At 36.5% G+C, this 26316-nt stretch overlaps 1 protein-coding gene across 8 annotated transcripts in view, besides 2 other annotated features; it reads left to right on the top strand.

Annotated features, from left to right (window-relative positions):
- Window positions 1–26316, top strand: part of ASXL3 (ASXL transcriptional regulator 3) — a 172977-nt gene that overhangs the window by 128031 nt on the left and 18630 nt on the right. For all 8 annotated transcript variants that reach the window (XM_005258356.2, NM_030632.3, XM_011526205.3 and 5 more), the window contains one exon: window positions 25719–25815. In XM_005258356.2, coding sequence (XP_005258413.1) covers window positions 25719–25815 — 97 coding nt within the window. The remainder of the gene's footprint in view (window positions 1–25718; window positions 25816–26316) is intronic.
- Window positions 9921–9970: an enhancer, noted in NCBI's record as "active region_13213". NCBI's record gives its function as "activates an Ori minimal core promoter by ATAC-STARR-seq in GM12878 lymphoblastoid cells {active_cell/tissue: GM12878}" and the evidence as "EXISTENCE:reporter gene assay evidence [ECO:0000049][PMID:35858748]".
- Window positions 23495–23544: a silencer, noted in NCBI's record as "silent region_9391". NCBI's record gives its function as "represses an Ori minimal core promoter by ATAC-STARR-seq in GM12878 lymphoblastoid cells {active_cell/tissue: GM12878}" and the evidence as "EXISTENCE:reporter gene assay evidence [ECO:0000049][PMID:35858748]".

Genomic DNA, 26316 nt, shown 5'->3' on the forward strand with positions numbered 1-26316 from the left:
GGCTACCAATAATCAAGATAACATGGACATTTTGGTATTTATGGTTTTGCTTCCATGGACATTTCAGTAGCTATGATTTTGGTCCACCTAAATACAAAATTTTTTGAGATATATGACTACAAGTCTAATTGTTGGGTCATAGAGTATGCATAGATTCAGCTTTTCAAGATAGTATTAAACTATCTTAAATACTTTCTCAAAATAATTACACCAGTTCATATTGCCACCAGTGATATGTGAACATTTATGGTATTCAGCATCCTTACGAGGACTGGATATTATCAAACTTTACAATTGTTCATAGTGGTTTTAGTTTGCATTTATCTGATGACTAATGAGGTTAAGCAACACTTGACACATTTTTGGATACTTGGATATCCCCATTTGTATATTACCAGTTCCAGTCTTTAGTGTATTTTTTTTATTGGGTCATCTTTTTCTTGTTGATTTGTGTCAGATCTTATAAATTCAGAGTATAAGTCCTTTGTCAAATATATTGTTGGTATCTTCTTATGTTGTGGTTTGTCTTTTGATTCTCTAAGTGTTGTCATTTGATGAAGAGAAGTTCTTAATTTTAATGTACTCCAATTTGCTTATTTGTCTTAATATATTGTCTATTCGCATCATGTAAAGAGATGTACTTATGCTACATTTAGATTTATATCTACAAACCACCTGAGTATGACATGAGATAGAGATTAATTTGTTTTAGATGCATATCCAGTTGACCAAACATATCTTATTTAAAAGGTCATTCTTCCCCCCACCCCCACAGTGTAATGTTACATTTGTCATAACAATTGACCTTATATGTGAGCATCTATTTATAGACACTGTTCCTTTGCATTGGTCTGTTTGTCTGTCCTTACACCAAAACCATGTTATCTTGATTATTCGTAGCTTGATATCTTGTAGAGGTAGCTCACTATCTTTGTTCTTTTTCTTTGATTAGAAGCCCTTTGTATTTTCATAGAAATTTTAGAATAATAATGTCAATGTTCCTAAAAGCACAGGAATTTTGGTTATGGATTGCATCTAATATATAGAACAACTTAGGGAAGAATTGAAACTTTTGCCACATTGAATCTTCCAATCCATGACCATAACTTGTCTTTCCATTTATTTAGGTCTTCCTTAATTTCTCTCAATATTTCATAGTTCCCTTAGGAAAGGTAGTACATCATTTGATCAATTTGTTCCTGTGTCTTTGCTGATTTTTGCTGGTATTATAAATTGTTGCTATTTTTGTTGATATACAAATCAATTTTTATATATTGATTTTTTTCCAGTGAATGTGCTAATTCACGTATTAATTTTAATAGTGTATGGTTTTTTATCCTCTCAGTCAATACACAGAGTTATATTGTTTATAATAATTACAGTTTTATGTATTATTTTTAAATGCTTATACCTTTCTTGCCTTATTTCACTGGATAATATCTTTGGTATAGTGTTGAAGACAAGTGGTGATAGGTGGCATCTATATCTTGTTTTTAAACTTCGGTTTAAAGATTTTATTATTTCATCTTTATGCAGGATGCTTAAAGCAGATATATTTTATAGATGCTTTCTGTCATATTAAGGAAATTTCCTTCCATTCCTTGTTTTCTCAGTTTTAATCACAAACAGTGCTTTCTGTATCTCTTAAGATGATTTCTTCTTTATTATATTAATGTGATAAATGACCAATTGTTTTAGATATTAAATGATCCTTTTATTCCTAGAATGAACTTACATACACATGCCCATGCATGCTCATGTAAATGCAGTTTGCTAATATTTTGTTGTAAATTTTTACAGTTTTGATCAAGTGGAGATTGGCCTGTAATATTCGTTTTTTAAAATGTCTTTGATGGTTTTTGGTAATACAAGTAATGATGCTTTCTTAAAATTAGCTAGTAAATATTCTATCTGATGCCAAAGTTTGTGTAAGATTTATATCTTTTCAACATGTTAGGAAAACTATACTCGTAAAGTTAGCTAGACTAGAGATCTTTTTGGGAAAACTTTTAATTACCGACTCAATTTCTTTAATAGTTGTAGAACTTTTCTATCGTCTCAGTTTTCATAAATTGTTTCTGGGAATAAAAAAATTAACAGCTCTATTGATGTAAAATAGCATGCATATTGAATGTGTACATGTTGATAAACTTTGACATATAAACACACTCAATGGAACCATTATCAAAATCAAAATAATGGACATATCTTTCACTCTGGAGAGTTTCTTTGTACACTCTGACATGTATATAATATTGAGTCTTCCAGTCCATAAGTACTATATAACACCCTCTCCCATCTTCTGATTTTGTACTGGATAATCCTCTGTGGTGGGGGATGGACTTGGGGATGGTTACCTGTCCTTATAGGATATTTACCAGCATACCTGGCCTCTACCTACTAGACATAACTAGCATCCCCTGCCTCCAGTCCCTAACAATCAAAAGTATTCTCTAGAAATTGCCAAATGGTTCCAGGAGGAAAAATTCCCCAAGGCTAAGAGATTGAAGAACCACTTACGTAGAGATCTCACACATCTTTCGTTTGAATTTATTTATTCCAAGGTATTTTTCATGTGGTTATATATAATTTTCCAAAATTTAATTTTATATTTGGTGCTAACATTTAGCAATGACATTGACTTTAATCAATCAGTTATATTATGATTGAACAATTTTGCTACAGTCACTCATTAATGCTAATAATTTCTATCAATTGGGAAAACATACATGAGGTAGCTCTTGATATAATATCTAAATGGCCGATAAACATATGAAAATTTGCTCAGCTTCATTAGTCATCAAGTAAACATAAATGAAACCACAGTGTAATACAACTGCTTGACCAGGAGGATGAAAAACAAACATACATAAATATAAAAAGCAAATATTGGCAATAACAAATGTTGGTGAAGAAGTGAAGCAAATAGAACTCTATTGGTGGGAGTGAACTGCTTCTTTGAAAAATGGTTTGACAGTATTTATTAAAGTTGACCTAGCATTTAAACTCTTCCCTAGGTTTATACCTAATGGAAATCATTGATATGTTTACCAAAAAAAAAAAAACAACAAAAACATGAGCAGAAAAGTTATAGCTATAGTGTTCACAATAGCCAAAACTTGGAAACTACCAAAATACCTATCAACAGCATAATGGATAAATAAATTGCTGTATAGTATTCCAGTGTTTGAATTTACAATGAGAATGAACAAACGACATCTACATGCAACACCATGGATGAATCTCACAAATACAATGTTGAGCATAACTGCCCAATACAAAAGTGTATGTACTGTGTAATTCCATTTTTATAAAGATCAAAAAAAGCAAAACTAATCTGTGGTGTTAGATTACTCTTAGGGATTAGTACCTGGGAGGGAGCACTTCCAAGTGCTGTTAATGTTCTGTTTCTTAATCTTGTTGCTGATAACAAAAAAGTATTCATTTTGTAAAAGTGATTCGAGCCATGCTTATGATTCATTCACTTTCTATATATGTTACACTTCAAGGAAAATATGTCACATGTGCAAAAATTAAAGAAAATGACTATTCTTCCGCCCTAACTTGTTTGGCTCTGCAATGAACAGTCTGTTCTGTCACACATGCAACTGGAGTTATGTTTCTCCCCACTCTGACCACTGCTTCCTAATCACTTCCACTCCCACCATGACCCCTAGCTCCTTGTCAGGATGTACAGTAAGTCTGACTTAAAAGCTGACTGATGGGCCGGGTGCGGTGGCTCATGCCTGTAATCCCAGCACTTTGGGAGGCTGAGGCGGGTGGATCACCTGAGGTTAGGAGTTTGAGACCAGCCTGACCAACGTGGAGAAACCCAGACTCTACTAACAATACAAAAATTAGTCAGGCGTGGTGGCACATGCCTGTAATCCCAGCTACTCAGGAGGCTGAGGCAGGAGAATCGCTTGAACCCAGGAGATGGAGGTTGCAGTGAGCCAAGATCAGATCGCACCACTGTACTCCAGCCTAGGCAACAAGAGCAAAACTCCGTCTCAAAAAAACAAAACAAAACAAAACTGACTGGTGGTCATTGATCAATGTGTTATTTTTCCCCCACTTGTACCTTGTATCTTTGGCACTTCACTAAGGCTAGCTAGGAAACTGTTATTGGCAATCGTTTTAGTGTAAGAAACTATGACAGCAGAATGTATGTGCTAGAAAGAATTGTCCATAATTAACTTCATTTTTCCATTTGAGTTTTCTCTTTCAGTGGGTCATAGTTCACGTAAAGGAATGCTTTCTGAACTTGTTCTTCTGAATGTGTGCTTCTGAATATGCTCAAAGACATAAAAATTAGACCATTTCTTTTTATCTTATTAAAGACATATTGTCTTTCTAGGCACTCTTAAATAGGATCAATTCCAACCAATATCAATTTTTTCTTGAATTTTTGTCCTTAATGATCTAATTTAGAATTTCCTACTTATTTAGATGTAGATCTATTGGTGAAGGTTAACCGTTTTCACTTTCTCTTTTACTTCTTTCAAACAAGACAGAAGTGTACATCAAGCTATCATCTTTAAACATATAGTTAAAATATATGCACTTTCATTTCACTTGATCATATTAAACTTCTAATTTTATTTCTTTACTGAATTTTTTATGGGTTTTTGTTTGGGGGGGAACAAAGCCTTTATTTTATAAAATGCTTGAAAAATGTTATGATAAAATAAATTTGCATACAAAATGCTGTTGCCTTATGAATATAATTGTACTCTTTTCTCTAAGGTTGATTTTAAAATGTTCTCACTTTTTTGTTTTGCCAGATAAATTATTTCGTTTAGATTTTCCATTTAATTTCCTATATTTTAGCCCCAGAGTCCAATTTTGTCATTTTAGAATGAATGTAGAGATCATGGTTATTCTTGCATTGATTTCTAAATAACCAAATTACATCTTCCATTGTAAACAGATGTTTGTATTTGTTTTATTGTCATAATTTCTCTCTTCCTTTTGGGGAAACAGACAATTTTTTATTTTTAATGTCCATGGAATTCACATTTGCTTTCTCTTTTTTATGCGCTTGTATGCAAATTTGATGAATATTCTTCTCATTTAATTTTGTATTTGATTTTGTGCAATATGCCTTAAAGTTGCTTTAAAAATATATGTGATCTTCTTCCAAAATTTGGCTGGACTCCTCTTGTCCAGAGTTTTACAACATATATATTAACTGCATTTTATTTCTTTTTATGAGGTAAGAATCATATTATGGAAAATCTGAATTCCCAAATGACTAATTGTTAACTTGTCAGTGTATGGTTATTATTTAATTAAATGGAAACATTTTTCAGTTATGATAATGAATTGTGTCACTGGTAACTGATTTTTAAACAGCTTGGAATTTTAAAAGCCATTCCTCCCCTTTATCATTTGAATAAATTAGATGGTTGGTTGTTTGCGCACAGATCCTGTGAGTCCTGTGGGTGAGACCATATGGTGTGATTAGATCACTCGGTGTCTGGGAGAGGCTATGGGGATCCCTTGCAGAGCCAGGGCTGTATTGTCATAGCAGTTGCCTCCCTGCTAATTTATCTCAGGGCTCACACTCTTACATTTTTGGTCTAATCACTTATATATCACTCAGCAATAAAAAACTGTGTCAAAAAGATTAAAATTTTAGACATTCCTGCAGTTGCTGGAAAAAATGGTGATAATGTCATAAAATATGCAATCTTTATTTCTTAAATGTTCATGCTATATGAAAACAGTTCCATGTACTCCTCCAATTTCTGGTTTACAGACAATATATTATATTTTAGGTGTTATTTGTTTAAGATGAGATACAGGATTAAAGGGAAACTAGATAATGTATTGGCAAAAATTTGAGAACTGTTGTTGATGCTCCAGTTGCTATTATTTTGCAAAAATTCTTTTGTATTTGTTTATAGTAGTTAATCATAAAGTATGATTTTGGCTGTTTGTTTTCCACCTGATACATTTATTTATTTATTGTAGAATATATTTGTTTTAAAATTTCAGCTTTGATTACTGACAGAGAATATGAATGATGGTATTTTAATGCTTTCTGTCATTTAAAAAAAATTGTATTACAGTTTTAGAGTCTAAGTGATTGTTGCTCCTGGCATTAACATTGACACACTTATAAATAGATTTTGACATTCATTGAGATTACTTGCTTGCAGGCCTGAAAATAAAGATGAGATATGAAAGAATTTAGGTTATTGGGGAAGGAGCCAGTCATTTAATCTCTTTTGTATTTCAGACTGCTCTCTTATTTCACCTGTAGTTTACAATACTAGCTGACGAGTGTTCTTGTGATTGTTCTGAAACAAAAGCTCCTCTGATGATTTTGAAGCTAGTTTTCCTGATACTTTTTAGCTACCCCAATTTCTATAAAATATTTAGCTCAGAATACCAAGAAAGACTTCAAGGATCCAGGATACTCCTGAAACTTTCTGCAGTATTTTGCATGTATGTATGTCTATATGTTTGTGTGTATGTGTGCATTTGTTAGTTGGTTTTCAAGGTGTGTTAGTCAAGGTAGAAGCTATGTTGCTGTAAGAAAGAGTCCCAGAAAATGGTAGCTTAGACATGATAGTGGTTTTTCTCTCTAATAACAGTCTGCAAGTAGCCAGTGCATCCGTGGGAGTTTGGCAGTTTTGCTCCTTCAAGTTGTGCAGTACTTCTGTTTCTTCTTTTTGTCCCATCTGCTGCCAGGCTATTGCACTCCTTCTCAGTGGTTGAAGCTGGCTCATCCACGTTCTAGCTAAATGACTGGCTATACACTAGGAGTGCACAAGTTACATACATCACACGTGCTCACGTTCCTTTGTTGAGAAGTTGGACACAGCCACCAGTAACCTCAAGGGAGTCTGGGAAAGATCATCTCTAGTGTGGCTCAAAATCAGGGTTTGTTACTATACAAAATCAGGGTTTGTTACAATACAAGAATGAGGGGGAGAATACAGAGAGGCAGTTAGCAATCTACCACAAGAAGGTTTTTTTTGTTTTGTTTTGTTTTTTTTTTTTTTTTTTTTTTTTTTGAGACAGGGTCTTACCGTCACCCAGGCTGGAGTGCAGTGGCACAATCTTGGCTCACTGCAACCTCCACCCCCCCCCGGGTTCAAGTGATTCTCCTGCCTCAGCCTCCTCAGTAGCTGAGATTACAGGCACCTGCCACCACGCCTGGCTAATTTTGTGTATTCTTCATGGAGATGGACCATGTTGGCCAGGCTGCTCTTGAACTCCTGACCTCAAGTGGTCCACCCCCACCTCAGCCTCCCAAAGTGTTGGGATTACAGGCGTGAGCCACCGTGCCCGGCCTGAGCTTTCATTCATTGTCTTCATCAAATATATGTCATATATTATGTAAAAGGAAATGTTTAATATTCAAACCTTATGTGTTCTAGGATGTCAGCAGTCAGGCCTGAGCATCCATGTTGACATAACGGGGCGTAGGCCATCTGGATAACTGCATGTATACATCACCTGACCATGATTGCAAGAGCTGCAGTTAGAGACTGATACACATATGGTAGAATATTGATGGAAATACCACAAGCGGTAACTTCCATAACATAATTTTCCGTGAACAACCGTTATAAAAGTTCTAACACAGCAAAGTGCAGTGTTCTCCCAAAATTCAGGTTAGGTACATTCCTAGAAAGAAAATTTTGTATGTGTTAAAACCCATGCAAAACTTCAGTGTTACATGCTGGTCTCAAGTCATCATAGTGGGTGTTTGACTTGCATGTGTGTCCATGGAGTCATTTGTATGGCATAAGAGGTGCTGGCAATTCCTGCTGGTGGGTGAGTGTGTGCACATGACAAGGCCTCTGTATCTTTCCTTTTTGCCCACAAAAGGCCAGCAATCCACCTTAATTGTGGAAACTGCCCTCCCTCTCAGACACATTTCAAGTGGTATTTCTTATTTTTATAAAGTTTTTCTCCTGGATGTCGTCACTTTTTCTTTTTCTGTAGTGAAGAAAACATTTAAACTCTGTGTTCATACTTTGTGTTGCTTTGCGTCTCAACAATGTCTCTCTGTTACATTTCAGCACAGCACGTTGCCAAGGGCTCAAATTGAATTCAATATAGGCAGGTCCCGGGATCATGGAATCACTACTCATCCAGCAGCACTTAGGTCCTTCCTAACTCCATTTCACCCTCTTTTCATTAACTGCTGCTTCTTTGAACCTAGTTATTGTCATTTTTTCCTTTGCTCTACCTATGCCATAGAACTTTAGATCTTGAAGGAACATTAAGAGATCTATTTTAATCACTTTCACATTAACAGTAACTTGCCCCAAAACACATGGTTCGTTCTAACTCTAAAACAGGCCACGGGTATTTCTTATTGCTCTCGTATTTCCCATAAGAAGCAAGCTCCCTTTTCATTCTGTCCACGTTTTCCCCAACTCAGCTTTAGACCACCACTCCTTTCTTGAGTTGATGGCATTCTCTGGACCTGTGGGGTACATGTTCCACCAGGCCCCCAACTCTTCCCCCATTCTCCTCCCCCGGTCTTTCTCTCCATCTGACACACATGAATTCATACTAGGGGAAGGACCTGTGCCTGCTCTCCTCTATTTCTTTTTGTTTAAATTGGCTTATTAGTGTTATCTTGAATCCATTTTGGGGTAGGAACCTTTTCATACCCCTTGTCCACTTTTTCTTGTGGACTGGTTTAATTCAGTTCAATTTGTAATTGGTAAAGTTACCTAACAAGGACAGCTGATTGCAAAGCTTCAAATCCCAGTGAGAGTGAACGAAGGTGTAGGGTTCTTCTAGCTGGTAGAAGGCCCTGCTCCTCCCTCAGTACACCCCCTTCAGTAACTGACTCAGGACAATGGACATGAAGGTCACGTGAGGCCTCTGCATTTTACTTTATAGTTTACTTTATTCTTGCTTCTCAAAGTGTCATTGTGTCCACACTCTGGGGCTGAATATTATGACTAGGTTGTGCATGTGTGGATGTGTTAATTTATCTTGAGTCTACTTGACCTTGTTGAAACTTCCCAAATTCCCTGTTCCTTCGAGAATCTTGTTCATTTACCTGCTTCCAAACTAGCAGGTTCTCTAAAAATTCAGCAAATTCATTCTTTACACTCTAAAGCCAATCTGGCATATACAGATCTACTATATATGTTAGCATATTAAAAAATAGTAGGCTACACATTCTGCCCCATATTATCACTTTGCTTTTCACATTAGACTTTTAAAATGTCACTTACACATTATACACATTCAGCTTAGCCTTCTGTTATCCATCAAGCCACAGTAACTGGAAGGAAGGGTGATTTTGCTGTAGAAATGGGCCCAGTGCTGATTTGTAATTATTGGAAAACTCAATGTGATTACTCTCTAAAACATCATATTTGTGTGACTAATATTTTTGTTACTAACAATAACGTTTCTAATTTTTATCTTTAGTTTTGGGAAGGATAATGTTTTAAATCAAATATCTACAGAAAACCTGAGGGTATTAAAATTTGCTTTTATTACTTATGATCTCTTTACATTTAAAAATTGAGGGGGTACATATCAAAAAATAAAATCTTTGAGACATAGGTAAAGAGACGAGTGGTAGGTAATAAAGAGAAGGGGATAGAATGTAGCCATTATGTCAGAAATGCTCTTGAGTGAGGGGCCTGGATGTGAACACACACTTATTTCAGACATTGCAGACAGCAAAGGCAAAAGACAAACACAGTAAGTCACATCGACCTCATTTTTTAGTAAAAGGAATCATTGGTTTGAGTGTCAGTCATGTCAAGCAGCATTTGAATAAAGTCTCAATGGCAATTTTGTTAAAAGGGCAAAGACCTTGTTCATAAAGGCCAATTCTTATTCTGGCCTTTAATGGTAAGTTGAGAGTTCATTAAACTGAAGTTTAGCAAGATGTGTCAATTCAGGGATAGAGTGCAAAAGTAGATTCTAGGTTTATAATTCTCCAGTGCTCTGACTTACAGATACTGTACAGCAACATTTCTTACGGTGAACACAATCTGTAGAAAAGCAGACCCGTGGAACATAGAGAGCAGTGTTCTGAGCTTTCATGTGTTTGGGAAATGCTACATTCATTTGCATAGTAAAAGTCCCAGAGCTCTGCAGTGAAGAAAACATTTAAACTTTGTATAAATAGTGTTTCCCAAACTTCATTGATCTTAAAATCCTTTATTTCCTTAGGAACTTCTCATCAGTTGCTATAATAGAATCTATTTTGGGAAACAAGGAAGTAAAAGCATGAAGGTTTGACATGTTGCTAATTGTGGCATAGGTGTTTCGAAAGTCAGATGACAGGCTTTCTCTATTACTAATGAAATAGGAGAGTTGTATGTTTTAGGATTTTTGTGTAGGTGTTTGGGATTGGTGTAATTTAGGTGGCATGTTTGGCATTTTGTTAGGAAAATTTAAAGGTTGGTTTGCAGTCTTTATGAAACCGTACCCTTATAGTGTTCTATAAAGTGAACTGTTGGCTTGTAATTACTTTGCAGTCCAACATTTTTCATGGTCTTAGGCTTTCTTTGCAAATGGAATTTCTTTCTTCAATGAACTGTATACTGTCTTCAAGGTGGAAAATGTATAATAGATTACTCAGTGTAATACTTTCTGGTTGTGTTACTTTGGCCTTGCTCAGATTGCAAGAAATGGAGATTTGCTGGTTAAAAAAAAAAAAAAAGTAATTGAGTGGGGAGGTGATGTTAAACATACATTTATATTTACCTCTGTTCTTTTGTTATATATTTCTAGGGTATCTGTTCATCTCACAGTGTCTCTTCTGGTATCCCAGATTCTCGTTCCCTATACATCAAGGAGGTGATTAATTAATTAAGTCATGTAATATGTCTCTGGTACAGCTTTGGCTCCGACACTGATCTCTAGGTCAATCAGCTATAGCCTGAGTAATAGGACTGATTTTGCTCAAGGCTAAAGAGCTGATTTCTCAGTAGAATAATAGTGACAGTAGAGGTCGGGTGACCAGCCAGCACTAGAGCAACAAAACATTAAACTCTGCAGTTGTGATACCTAGTTTCAAAGTAGAGAGTCACTTCTGATTGTTGCTTCTTAAATATCATGATATCTGTGTTCCATTTTAAGGGCATATTTGAGAATGCTATGATTTAAAGGATCACAAGCTAAGCACTTAGTATTATTATATATTAATTTTTTAAATGTTTACTCCTCATATGTTAGGTAGCATATTAGGTTATTTGCATTTATTATTTCTAGTTCATATAACAGCATTGCAAGTATGCTTACTTCCTCATTTGAATAATGAGACAAACCGCCACTCAAAGCTGTTAAGAAATTGGAGCATCTTCAGACAGCTGTGAAGATAACAGAGCTGGGCTTAGTAGACCAATTTTCTAACTTGAAATCAAGCTCTCTTTCCACTGTGACTTGTTGGGTTACTTAAGGAGACTACCATGGAATGTCTTGAATACATCAGAAGGATGCTTTGTGGGTTGGGAGAGGCTGGGCGTTGGTTTATTGTTTTTGTTTTGTTTTGGTTTGGTTTAGTTTTTTTGGCCTTAGAGGATGATAGAGGAACCAGGATATACAGAAATTAAAATAATACCAAATTAAATGGAAGGAATTTACCTCCCGTTTTCTGGTTTGTGCACAGCTAATTCATTTAATAAGAAGCCATAAATTGTCTGCACTTTGGAAGGTTGTGTAACAGTAACGTAACTGTAGTATTGATAACCCCTAAGCAAAAGCTAAAATCTATTGTCTTCTTTCTGTATCTCTTTGTTACTTCACATCAAAGATTAAAAGTAGCTCCTACTACCTATATGTTCCTTATAAAATCTGTTGTTTATACTCCCTAACAAAAGTATCACAAAACTGGTAGGGTTAAGTAGAGGCATCAAATACAACTAAATCATGGCAAAACGAGTTCCTTCAACATTAATTAAGTTCCTACTCTGTCATGCTATGCAAATCCCTGCCTTCAGGGAGATTATAGTCTGCTCTTTCTAATCCGTCATCTTTGGCATTTAGTACTGTGGGAAGTCCCTTATTATGTATCCCATAGACCCATATCCCATACACTCAAACATACCCAGCTCATGTACACATATAATTTTGTCTCTCAACTGATAAAGAAAGGAGCAGCACCCAAATGAGTTGTTCTCACCTTCCCTGTATTAGTTTTCTGTGCTGTGTAACAAATTACCACAAATCTATCAGCTTAAAGTAGCATGCAGTTATTATCTCCATCGGTTGGGAGTGAGTGAGGTTAGTTTTCATGGTCAGGAGTCTGGGCACAGCTTTGCTGATTCTTCTGCTCTGGATCTTAACATGGTGAAATCAGCGCACTGACATCTCTATTCTTAACTGCAGCATGGGGTCCTCTTCCTAGCTCATGCAAGTTGCTGGCAGAATTCATTTTCTTACAGTGGTGGGGCTGAAGACCACAGCTCTTAAAGGTTATCCCCTTAGGCAGTTTACAATCTTTTTCTTTTTCTTTTTTTTTTTCCTTCAAGGCCAGCAGGAGAATATTTCTGCCCCTTTTGGCTAAGATGACATTTTATGTAATATAAAAAAATCAAGGGAGTAATAGCCCATTACCTCCTCCATTTTCTATTGGCTATAAGCAAGTCATAGGTCCTTCCCATAATCAATGAAAGAGAATTCTACAAGTGTGTGACTCATCAGGGGCTCCTAGAGTATGTCTGCTACACCTCCTACCAAATAATAAATATTATATCTCAGCTTGTTGAGAACTTTGTGTAAGCCAGCACTATTCAAAATATTTCATATATATTTATTCATTTAATCCTCACAAAAAACTCTAGGAAGTAGTTTGTTTTTCATAGTTTAGAAATTAAACTGAACCATGGAGAGTGGATTCTTGTTAGCTAAGAATATCCATCCAAAAAATAAACAGGAGAAAACAACAGCAACAATCTTGATGCCACACAGTCCTTCAGCTACCACACTCTTGCATCATTTCCCTTCATAACAAGGTTCCTTACCTCCCTTTTCGGAGCTGTGGTTGCTTTTCCTTCTGCCCTTACTCTAGGGCTCTTTCCTGCCCTTCCTTCACATACATCTCTGCTTGGAAATAAATGCCTCGGAGAGTCCTACCTCCACACGCATGCACCTAGAATTTTCCCTTCTTGTACTTCTGTTTTCTTCAGAGGCCTTAACACCATTTATAGTTACAACTTGATAAAACGGGGACCATGCCTTTCTTTGTTCATTGTATTTCCAGCATCTAGCATATAAACTTTTTCAGTGGAAGAATGAATGCCTGCATGTTAACTAAAGAAAGTCATGTGGTATAATGGAAAAGGTATCATTTTAGGGAGTCAAATCCTACTTTGCTGCTTACCTACTGCTAGAGTCTGAAGGTTTGTGTTTCCTCATAATTTATATGTTGAAATCCTAACTCCCATAGTGATGTTACTAGAAGGTGGAGCTTTGGGAGATGATTAGATCATGAGGACAGAGTCTTCATGAATGGGATTAGTTCTCTTATAAGAAACCCCAGAAATCTAGCTAGTCCCTTCCACCATGGAGGCAACAGCAAGAAGACATCATCTGTGAACCAAGAAACAGGCCCTCCCCAGACACTGAATCTGCTGGTACCTTAATCTTGGATTTTCTGGCCTCCGGAGGAGTGAGGAATAAATTTTTGTTGTTTATAAGCTGCCCAGTCTATGGTACTTTGTTATTGCAGACCAGACAGACTAAGGCACCCATCTTCAGGGTTGTTGAAAGCACTCAGTTAGTCTATTATTATTGTTGTTAGTTATCGTTTTTATGGAAGAAGAAGTAGATCAGGGCCATTGTTAAAGGGGAGGAGAGGCTAAGACAGTTACCTTTGGGCATAGATATTACCAGGCTACAAGGGGGAATTAAAGATATGTTAGATACCCAGACTTGGGGGCTCTCCTAGCATCCTTTCCTTCTCAGGCACGCCCCATGCTATTAAAAAAGACATTTTACCCTTTACCACTCTAGGTGCAAGGCTCTTGGATCAGCAGAAGCTGTCTATCTGTTTCACAGTTCCTGGCACATAGTAGATGCTGTGAAATGTTTGTTAAAGAAAGGAATGACTAATAGATAGTCACTTAAACACAGCTGTTCAGTGTATTACAAATGGAAACAGTGATTCATTGATTCCCACTACATTATAACATAACCTTATTTTATCTATACAAGAACATGAGCTTGAGTTTCACTAAATAAAACATTAGTATTCATGGTTGGGTACATTGGAAGTTTTTTCCCCCCTTCCCCCTCTGCTACACACAGAGGGAACATTAAAGAAAATACAATTATAAAACGTTGTCTTTTAAAACATACACATTCTCATATTTGCTACAACTTGTTCCAATTTTGAAAACATCGCTTCTCATCGAGGCCCAGCAGAATGTCCCAAGATGTGGCCAAAGGTCCTCCACAAGTTTGTTTGTCATGAAGTAGATACACTGTGAACACCAAACCCTTCTCTAATTGTGGAGAAGCTGGTGAAAGTGTGATCTGTCAAAGGCTTTATTTTTGCCTTTAGATGTCTTTATTTCAGTTGTTTTTACTGATTTTGCCACAGGCTACATCTCTTCTGAGCAATTCCTGTTTTTGGAATTTGAAAATGGATTGATTCTTAGAAAAGGTGTCAGAATTTTAAACTGTAGAATAATATCATTGGAAAATAATTATTGTTTTAACTAATATTGAATGAAAGCTTAAGGGAAATCCCATGTAAGCACAATAGTTGAAACTGAATACCTGAAACCTTTCAATAATCAATATTAATATTCTCCTTGTTTCATTTGCTTTTAACATTGCATACATCCCTGAAATATGGCTTTCCTGATTATATATTCTGAAATCCTTAGCAGCAATTATAATGAAACCTGTTTCTCTTAGAATAAGAGAATTGTTTTCTTTCGTTAATTGGAGCCTAAGAAATTGCTTTCCTACAGTCTTATTCTAAGGAATAGCCTCCCCAGCATCTGATTGATTATATCCTCTGCTGATTTGGAAATTTAGACAGGTCATGTGGTGGGATCAGGAGGATAGTTCTCGTTCTCTTGATAACAGCAAAAGGTTCCATTTAAAAGGAGACCATTATTTTGGCCAAGTGGTTGGATTGGCTAAAAATTCTATTTGCAAAGGAAAAAGAAAAAATTATATGTACACACATATATATATGTATGTATGTATATAGATAATTGCATAAATGTGTATGCATGTTCCATGTATGTGTATATTAAAGTACATGTGTATATATGTTTAGATGGATATAGAGATGTACATACATACACATATCACAAAAGCAGTAAGTAGTAGAAAAAGACAGCTCAGAAGAAGAGAGGCTTTTATTATGACATCTACTTTAAAACTCCATCATAACAATAATGACAAAAAGCCTTCCACATTTCCATCTAAGTGCTGCTTTGTTCGGTAATATTTCTCTCTAAAATTTACTTTGTGTTCACTTTTGCTTGATTCCATGCATACTTTTAAAACTTATTTGGAGGAAGGATGAAAGCTATACAGGCTTACCTTGTTTTAATTTAGTTTGCTTTATTGCACTTCACAAATACTGTTTTTTTTATAAATTGAAAGTTGGAGGCAACCCTGCACTGAGCAAGTCTATGGGCATCATTCCATTTTTCCAACAGCATGTGTTCATTGTGTGTGTCTGTGTCACATTTTGGTAATTCTCATAATATTTCAAGCATTTTTATTATAATATATTTCATTATTAAAATATGATAATGTATTATTATATATGGTGATATATGACCAATGATATTTTTTACTATCGCATTTGTTTTGGGGTACCACAAACCATGCCCTCATAAGACAGTGAACTTAATCCATAAATGTGTTCCGACTGTTTACTGACCAGCTGTCTCCCATTTCTCTCCCTTTCTTCAGGCCTCCCTATTTCCTAAGACAGAGCAGTATTAAAATTAGGCCAATTAATAACCCTACAATGGCCTCTAAGAGTTAAAGTGAAAGAAAAAGTTGCATAAGTCTCACTTTTCAATCAAAAACTAGAAATGATTACATTTAGTAATGAGGAAGGCATGTTGAAAGCTGAGATAGGCCAAAAGTTAGGCCTCTTGCACCAAATAATTAGCCGAGTTGTGAATGGAAAGGAAAAGTTCTTGAGGGTAATTAAAAGTGCTACTGCACTGAACACACAAATGATGAGAAAGTGAAACACCTTTATTGTTGATATGGAGGAAGTTTTAGTGGTCTGGCTAGAAGATCAAATCAGCCACAATATTCCTTTAAGCCAGAGCCTACTATAGAGCAAGCCCCTAACTCTTTTTTATTCTCTGAAAGCTTGGAGAGGTGAAGATGTGCTAGAAGGGAACTTGGAAGCTAACAGAGATTAGCTCATGAGGCTTAAGGAAAGAAGCCATCTCTATAACCTAAAAGTGCAAGGTGAAACGGCAGTGGCTGATGTAGAAGCCACAGCAAGTTATTCAGAAGACCTAGCTAAGATTATTGATGAAGGTGGCTATGTTAAACAACAGATTTTCAATGTAGATGAAATTGGAAAAAGATGCCATTGGGCTTTTATAGCTAGAGAGGAGAAGTCAATGCCTGGCTTGAAAGGATAGGCTTACCCTTCTGTTAGGTGCTAATGCAGCTGGTGGCTTTAAGTGGAAACCAGTGCTCATTTGCCATTCCAAAAATCCTACAGCCCTTAAGAATTATGCTAAATCTATTCTGCCTTTGCTCTGTAAATGGAACAGTAAAGCCTGAGTGACAGCACATCTGTTTACAACATGGCTTACTGAATATTTTAAGTCCGCTGTTGAGACTTACTGCTCAGAAAAAATATTCTTTTCAAAATATTACTGCTCATTGACAATGCAGTGGGGTCACTGAAGAAGCTGACAGAGATGTAAAAAGAGAATAATGTTTTCATATTACTAATGCAATACCTATTCTGCAGCATATGGATCAAGGAGTAATTTTGACTTTCAAGTCTTATTATTTAAGAAATGCATTTTCTAAGGCTGTGGCTGCCATAGGTAGTGATTCCTCTGATGGTTCTGAGCAAGGTGAATTGAAAGTCTTTTGGAAAGAATTCACCATTCTGGATGCCATTAAGAACATTTGTGATTCGTGGGAGGAGGTCAAAATAGCAACATTAACAGGACTTTGAAAGAAGTTGATTCTGATACTTATAGATGACTTTGAGGAGTTCAAGACTTCAGTGGAGGAAGTCACTGCAGATGTGGTGCAAATAGCAAGAGAACTAGAATTAGAAGTAGAGCCTGAAGATGTGACTGAGTTGTTGCCATCTTAGGATGAAACTTTCACAAGTGAGGGGTTGCTTCTTATGTGCAAAGAAAGTGGTTTCTTGAGATGAAATTGACTCTGGGTTAAGATAGCTGTGAACATCGTTGAAGTAAAAACAAAGGACTTCGAATATTCCATAAGCTTAGTTGATAAAGCAGCGGCAGAGTTTAAGAGAATTGACTCCAATTTTGAAAGACGTTCTGCTATGGGCAAAATGCTATCAAACAGCATCACATGCTACAGATAAGTTTTTTGGGAAAGGAAGAGTCAACTAATGCAGCAAATTTTATTGTCAGCTTATTTTAAGCAATTATCATAGCCATTCCAGCCTTCAGCAGCCACCAGCCACCCTGATCAGTCAGCAGCCATCAACATCCATGCAAGACCCTCCGTCAGCAAAAAGATTATGACTCACTGAAAGCTCAGATTACTGTTATCATTTTAAGTAATAACGTATTTTTAATTAAGGTATGTAAATTGATTTTTAGCATAATGCTATTGTACAGTTAATAGACTACAGTATAGTGATAGCTTTTATATGTACTGGGAAACCAAAACGTTTATGTGACTTACTTTTTTGCAACATTCACTTTATTGTCGTAGTTTGGAACTGAATTTGCAATGTCTTTGTGATATGCCTGTATAACATTTTTTATTGAGTCCTCATATGACTAGATAGAGTCTTGATTACAGCATTATAATCACAATATTTAAAAAATTATTATATATATTAGGACTTTTTTGACAGTGGTTGCAAAGAATTGTTTCCTTCAGTGGCTTTGAACTTGAGGTTGTTCAAGCTTGTAGGTTAAAGTTTATTACATCATCTTTAATATTTTGTCACTATTTATTCTGAATACTTGGTTCTCACAATATTCTCAAAATTGTCCCATTTTCAGATCTTAGAAACTTATATTCATTTGTTAAAGAGGAATATAGTCTCTAGCATGGGGAAATTCATTGTCTCATGCTTATCACATGTGGCTGTTTCTGTCAGTGATACTTTTACAACTCTTAATGCATCAGTTCCCAAACTATTCTGGGGAATAGTTGTTCTATGAGATACTGATGGTTGTTCTGTGAGAGGATTATAAAGTATAAAAGTGTGGGAAATACTGTATAATTTATTCTTCAGAATTTAAAATAAATTTTAGCATATTAGATAATACAGTAAATGAAACTACTTAACCATATTTAATACAGTCAGGCTATATTTATTGTATGGAAGACTGCATTTCTTTTAGATGGATTTACCTATTAAAATACCTATTTTGCAAAACACAATTTTGGTAATATTGTCTTACTGCAATTTTGGAAATATCTTTGAAAAGTTATTTGCAAAATTGTCTTTGGCATATTGCTGATCTATCTCCTTTAGGGAATCCATCCCTTTTAACAGCCTTCTTTCATTTTTATGCCTATCTTTATGTTATTCTAAAGAATAATATTTTCCCTTGTGGATAAATCTTGAGCATGTCTATAGAGTCTCCTGGGCCATCTGAATTATACTTAGTGGTAAGGAAAAAATTAAAATTTACCTTTTAAAGAGAGTCAATACTCTGGCTTTTATTCGTACTGGGATGTAGACTACAAGGGCACTGGGTGCTTGATCATGCAGGGTATAAGTGGCTCAATGATAACAGCATATGATGGTTCATATGCTCATTGCTCTTTTGTATTGTATTAGACTCCTGATTAGTGTCTCACTGTCTGGGTTGTCTTTGCTCTAAAGATCCTATTGATTTTTGTATTGGACACAACAGCTAATGTACTATACTGCACACACTGTTTACCTTAGTAATGCTAAAAGGCTTGATAGATATTAGCACATCCACAATACAGATCACCTTCTGCAAACACATTCTTCCCTTACACCTATCAATATGATGCCACTTGCTCCGATTTTCTTCCTACCTCTTTCTACTTTTGCTTAGTCTTCCTAACAGGATCTACTTTACCTCCTCATTCCTGTTACATTAGTATTCCTCAGGACTCTGCTTTAAGCCACCTTCTCTTTTGGTAAATATTCTTCCAATGTTCTCATCTATACCCATGTTTCCAACTACACTTTATTTGCTAATCATTCCTATTTGAAAACAATATTTACCATTGAGCATCTTGCCCTATTCTCAGTTACTGACTAGACATCTTTATTTGGATGCCATCAAGATATCCTTACATCAACATATCCAAAGCCTTCATTTCTTGTTTCTAAATACTGTTTCCCTCTTGTGCCTTTTCCTGTTCTGATGTTTGGTGCCAGCATGTACTCAGTTAGCAAGCCTTATTCCTGGGAAGCATCTTCCACATCTTTTTGTCTCATCTTTCTCAGCCCCAGTGATCACTCAGTGCCATCAATTCTGGTTTGTATACTTATCTTGAATATTCTCCTTCCTCTCTGTTTCCTCTACCTGAACAATCTTAAGACTTTTCATCATTGGTTCCGCTTGCTCTTGATGCTAGTTAACAGAAATCCCTGTCTTAGTCTTGCCTTTGTCCAGGGCATCCTCTACACTGCAGTAGGAGTAACATATGGAAGACATCTACTGGGAATTATAATCAGCATCTCAACCTGATGTAGTGCTAAAACAAACCTCCTCTGCCTATAGTCTTGTCTTTTAAAAACTAATTAGCAGTTTTCTACGTTTCATTCCTAAGTCCAAAAATTCTTGATATCAGCCTTGCCTGCCCTCTTTCATACCACACATTTAATCTATCATCAAATTATGCTGGCTCAACCTTCAGGATGTAATCAGAACCTAACCATTTCACGCTGCCTCCAGTGCGGTTATCCCAGTCCAAGCTACTATCATTTTTTTCCTGGATTATTGTAAACCCTATATACTAGTGTTCCTGGTAGATCTTTATCTGCTAAAGCTATGCTGTCTAGTACAATAGCCACTAGCCACTTGAGGCTTTTGAGAACTAGAAATACGGCTCACTAGAATATGAAATGAGATGTGCTATTAAAAAGATCCACTGGATATTGAAGAATTCATATTCAAAGAGAATGTAAAATATCTCATTAACAATATTTTATATTGAATATATGTTGAAATAATATTTTCGATAGTTTGGATTAAGAAAATGCATTATTGAAATTAATTACATGTTTCTTTTATTTTTTCCAGCATGATTAGTAGAAAAATTGAAATCACATATGTGACTCACCTTTATACTATTAGACAGCAGTACTCTAAATATTTTTCTAAACACAGCAGTCAGAGCTACCCTTTGGAAATGTCAGCTCTTATCATTCTTTGGACCAACACCCTCCAAAGGCTTTCCAGCCCCCTCAAGGGAGAAGGCAGTCTGTATAGTGGGTGACAAGGCCCAGTGTGATCCTGTCCCCTCCGCTCCTCTTCCTTCCACTTTCTGCTCTCTAGCTCCAAGGGCCTCTGTGCAAGCCCCACCTGAGGGCCTTTGCATTTATATTCTCTTCGCTTGGCTGTTTCCCAGCTAGCTGTGTGGCTTGCTTTTGCATTTCTTTCTGCTCAAATGTCTCTTATTAATTCTATTAGAGAGGCTCATCCTGATACCCTATTTAGAGCCGCAATCATCTTCCCCGCACATACTCAATGTGAATATTTTCTTCATGTTTTGGCTTTACTTTGAATGACTCCTCGTTGTCTGTAGAATGAAATCTAGATTGCTTAGTATTTCTCGGTGCACCGTTATTATTTAGCCACTTTCTAACTCCAGCACTCACTGTTCTCAGCAACTCTCATACCATGCAGTTAGAATCACTTGTAAGAAACACAAAATAAGAAAAAAGTGGTTTAGAAAATAGAGGTTTAAAGGATTATTATTAAATGTAAATATATTATTGCACTGAATTAACATTCATTCTTCTTCAAACATTGTATGATATGCAAGGAGGAAAGTTTATTTAAACCTTTGAATTCCAGTTGGCACCCATTCCTTAAAATGTATGTTAATAGGATCCATACCAAAGACAAATGATATACTTACCAAGAAAGAGTATAAACCTTTATAAAAGTATCTCTATGTGAGTAAGTTTTCTTTATTAGTGTTTATTTTCCTTTGGAACAAAGATTATGATCAGAGTTTTTCTCCTCCTAATGAAATAGGAACTATAACTTATCAATAGTTAGATACTTCATTATAAGACAGGTGATTTTGGGAATGAACATTTCTATTTTGGCTAATCAGGAAAACACATTGTAACTAACTTAGGAATAAATAAATCTTTCAGAAATGTTTATTGTTCCAGTTCATTCAAATATATCTTTTGTACAGTATTTCTTAAAACCCATAAAATTAATCGTGTATTTAAAACACTTTATTGGCATTTATTTCCTAAATCAAATTCAGCACTAGTATTTAATTTTACTGTCTGTTACAGCCTGGGGATCTGGCAGTTAAAATTATTTTTCTGTTTTAAAATAAAAATATTTTCCTCCAGGGCTAGCTTTCATATTCTTGAATGTGTTTATGTCACACTGCCTTGCATTTCCATGTGCTGAGATCTCGAGAATCTGTCAGAGCTAATCTGGATCTGGTATTTATTTGTGTCTTAAAATTATGCTGAAATTTTAATTACTAACTAATCATGCCCCTGGCTTGGTAGGATATATGGAACTAAACTTCTGTATATCAGCTACTGGAGTTAAATTTTAAATCCTTCACTACTCAAAGCAAGGGCAGTACAATAAACTTTTATTTACCATCTGCAAGATGCTAAGTGTTACACCGACTATAAAAGTTTATAAGACAAAATCTAAGTCCTCAAATGCACAATAATTCTAATCCACTGTGTCTTCTATACATGTACTCCACAATGAGTAACTCTTTCTACCTCTTCAGAGAACTTGCCTTCCACCTATTAGTCCTAATTGAAATCTATCTGTACAATATGAATACCTTTTCCCTTTTAATCTTTCTAAATTGAGTTGCCATTTTCTCAAGGCTGCTGGAATCACAAGGACATATATTCAAAGTTAATATTTGTAGAAAAATTTCAGATTTCATAGAGGTATATCATTTATATGACTATCTTGTCCTCATCCTTATTGTCTTTACCAAAACTCCTTAATAACATTTCTTAAAGACTTACACTCAAGGTTGGCCATCATTTCATCCACCCCCATCTCCCAGAATCATCCTGAGCAACTTTAATGTCTCCTGAAATGTTCTCCCAATGACTTTACCTTCTTAATCCTGAAGACCTTCACCCAGTCATAAATATATCTCAGATTTGTCTTTCTTTTGTTGCCTTTTACTGAAATACTCCGATACCCTTTCTAGCAATGTCTCAGTTTCATTTTTCCTTCTCTCTTCTGTTACACAGCTACCAAAGTCATCTTTTTAAGCACATACCTTTTAGGTTTTTTCCTTGGCTTCAAAAATTTGATACGTTTCCCACTACCTAGAGTGGTGCTTCACAACTTTCCACCATCATGGCTTATATTGAAAAAGGTAATACATATGCATGAGTAAACTGAGGGGGAAACTTGGACCTGGAGGCCACTAACCTGGGGCCTATGGTACATTTACTGGGCTGCTCCCATGTAGAGCATGAAGCCCAAGCTCTTTAGGTTTGGTGTCTGTCTTAGGAACCTCCTCAGCTCTTTCCTCCCGAAACAGGGCCTGGAACAAGAACTGTAGGACAGGTCATTTTAAAGCCAAAGCCAGGGGTTAAATAGGGTGAGACAGGGAAGAGAGAAGCCCTTTGGACAACTGTCGCTCATTTATTGGAGAAAATGTGTAGAATGAGCCACAGAACTGTTCCACAGGAGGACAGCAGGAGAGTGAAGCATTTTTCTACAGTCTGTTGTCTCTCATGAACTGGGAGTTGCGCCCAGAGACAAACTCTGCATCTCCAGGCTGTACCTGCAGGGGAACTTGAAGCTCTTTTTGCTTCAGAGAAAGTCTTAGAGTGTTATAGACTTATGTTGGAACTAAGTGGATTCAACTGTTTACCCTGTTTGCTCTGTACTCATGTAGCCAAGATGATATAAAGTGGAGTATCAGAAATGTTTGGTGTAGACTTCCTCTTGTACCACTCAGATCTTGTGCTTCACGTTAAGCTCCCTCTGTCTTTAACTCTTTAAAAAGTAACTGGTCATAATATTAATGTATTGGAAAGAAGGAAAAAATGAAAATAACAAGACTTATGACCAGAAGCTTAGTGGATCAGCTATAGGCTGTGCCAGTCTCAAGCTGGTTTTAAGGATGTTGTAGCTCATCATCTCCCTCCTTCATTACTCATTTCTGATTTTCTCACTCTTAGTCGGCACTTCTACTAGAAGTGGCCCAGACCGCCATCCCTGAGGAGTTTGAGCCATTGGTTGTCTTGCCCTGTCAGGATGTCAATCACCAGGCATGAATAACACCAAGAGATGTCCCAGGGAATCCCCAGCGTTCCCAACACCCTTCTGTCCATCCCTTCCCTATTGCAGCAGTCTTATTTCCTCATGATGGTTAGGGCTGATTGATTATCCTATCTGTCTCCTTTCTTTGCCTACTGGTCCAACAGAATGAATAATACAAAGTAACCAGACAAAGCTTTGGCTACAGTGGGTCCCTTACATTGTCCACTAGTGCAGTTGTTCTCAACTAGGGATGATTTTGCCTCCACAGGACATTTGGCCATGTTTGGAGATGTTTTTTGTTGTCAAATTGATAGGGAGTTGCTCCTGGGATCTACTGGGTAGAGTTCAGGGATGGTGCCAAACATCCGACATTACACAGGACATGCCCCCACTAAAAAGAATTATCTGGCCCCAAATGACAAGAGTGCCAATCTTGAGAAACCCTGCTCTAATAGAAGTGATTCACCGCTGGGAACCTGGACTTCTAATCCCACAGAGACTAGAGCTATGGGGACAGAATGCATGCAGTCTGCAAGTGGTTGTTTGGGAATGATAGTGCAAAGGTTCTTTCATTCTGCCCCTTAGTTCCCAGATCCATGTAGCCTAGCCATTGGGAACATAGCACCAAACAGCATCCATTTGGTTGAGTGCATAAACCACACTGCAGAGGATAGTGTCCTAGAGTTATCCAGTCAAAAGATGGGGAAGCTGAGACATTCATTCATATATCAGGGCTTTGGTAAACCTATGAGGTGGGACATTGGCATGGTGATGTAACTGTACATCAGTCATGCTGAACCCAGGCGGGTGAAAAGCACGTACAAGGACCAAAAGTATTTGTTCTATGTAGAATATATTCAGAATATAAATACAGAGGATTTTTCTTTATTGCCAGTGAATTTCCAGCACCCATACAAGTGCCCTGCACATAGGTTCATATGAGTGGCTTAACAAGTATCTGTTGAATAAGATGAAATAATTGAGCATGAGTAAACAATAAATCAATTAATAAATGAAATCCTGCCTGAAAATTTTCAAATGTATTGAATATTTTAGTGTGGTTACCAGTGCCATCTTAAATGAAGACCCTCATGATCTCGAATCTGTGGCCTCCCTATAAATGTCACAGCGTCAACAATAAGCTTATCTTGCATTTGTTCTCAGTGTCTCTCTTTGCTGGCTTTGATTAGACATTATCCAGCTTAAGATAATATACTTGTTCTTTATGTTCAATATTCTCCTTTGCTCCTGAATGATGATTGAACTGAAACATGCATGAAGGCATTATTTGAGTTAAATTTTAGAAGAGTGATAGTATTTCAATAGGTGAAAATGGAGTGTAGAAAAGATCAAAAACAAACAAAAAAGTGAGGATAAGAAATCTCTAAAAGTGTGTTTTCAGGTAATTATAATTAGTGCTTAGGATATATGAATTCTATATGTGGAAGTAACAGGAAATCTTTGAAGATCTAGTTGGGGTTACAGTTTGCCAGGCCTTTTAGTACCAGGTGAAAGCATCTTCACACCTTCATAAATGCCCCAGTTACTGATAGTTCATTATGTTCTGCTTCTACAGTAATGCTCATGCTCGTTGACAGTATACCTTATGCTTTTATCTCTAACCATTCTGTCTGGATCCTCTTAGACTCTCATGCGGCTGCATCAGGTTCTTCCTACACTCTCATGTCCACATACATATATTCTCCGAGCTTTTACATTTTGAACTTCTTAATTCTCACTCACCTAATGCTTGACATTGTTTAACTTGTTATATGTTTTAAATTCACTCACCAACTACATAAGAAGCCAGCCAAGGAGAACACTAATTATTTCTGTCTCCTACACATCAGCAAGCACAATGCATACATCTAAACTCCTAGTATTCATCCCAGGAGACCAATCTTTTGTTGGGTCCCTTTCCTCTCCGCCTCCTACCCTGCACATGCTCTCGCTGGAGCTCCTGCTCTCTCTCTCCCTTCTCCTTTCTCTGTCTCCTTCCCCCTTCCTCCTCCTCACACATACACTGCCCAACACCACTCAATTTTTGCTTCTTTCCTGCATACTTTTGCTTTGACTTATTCCTGATGGAACCTTGTTTTTGTCGGCTTATTTTCCTAGATGGGAAGTGATGGAATTTTACGCCTCAGTACTTCAGCTCTAAATAATGAATTCTTTGCATATGCAGCACAAGGGTGGAAACAGCGACTGGCAGAAGGTAAATTTGTATTTTCTATTATTATGTGACATATTGGAGTACACATACCGTACTGAGCTTGTACCTTTCTCTGATTTTTCAGTCTTTTCCCCGACACAGTACACTTTAATTTAGTAAAAACTCATATCCCTTTCCAAATGAGTTCACTGATTCTTTTGTTATACTTGACATTATTGATGTCAGATATTTTTGAAGAAAGCATAATTTTATCTTGGACATCATAAAATTTTTGATGCAGCAACATTTTCTTGCGGATGGTAATTTTAATGACATTGTTTGATCCATTATGCATTCTCTTAAGCATCCTGGCACCTAAAGAAACTTCTTTTAACGCTCTCTTCCGCGGAAGTTACTGCTTCACCTTATCCTTCCTTTAATCACCAAGTTTCTTGAAAGACTACAGAATGCCCAATGCTACTGTATTTTTCCTCTTTACACACTCAAACTTTATAGTCAGGGATGGGCCCACTCTACACAACTGAAATATTCCTCCTAGAGAAG

Source organism: Homo sapiens, chromosome 18 (genome assembly GCF_000001405.40).
Source record: "Homo sapiens chromosome 18, GRCh38.p14 Primary Assembly".
NCBI classification, from domain to species: domain Eukaryota; kingdom Metazoa; phylum Chordata; class Mammalia; order Primates; family Hominidae; genus Homo; species Homo sapiens.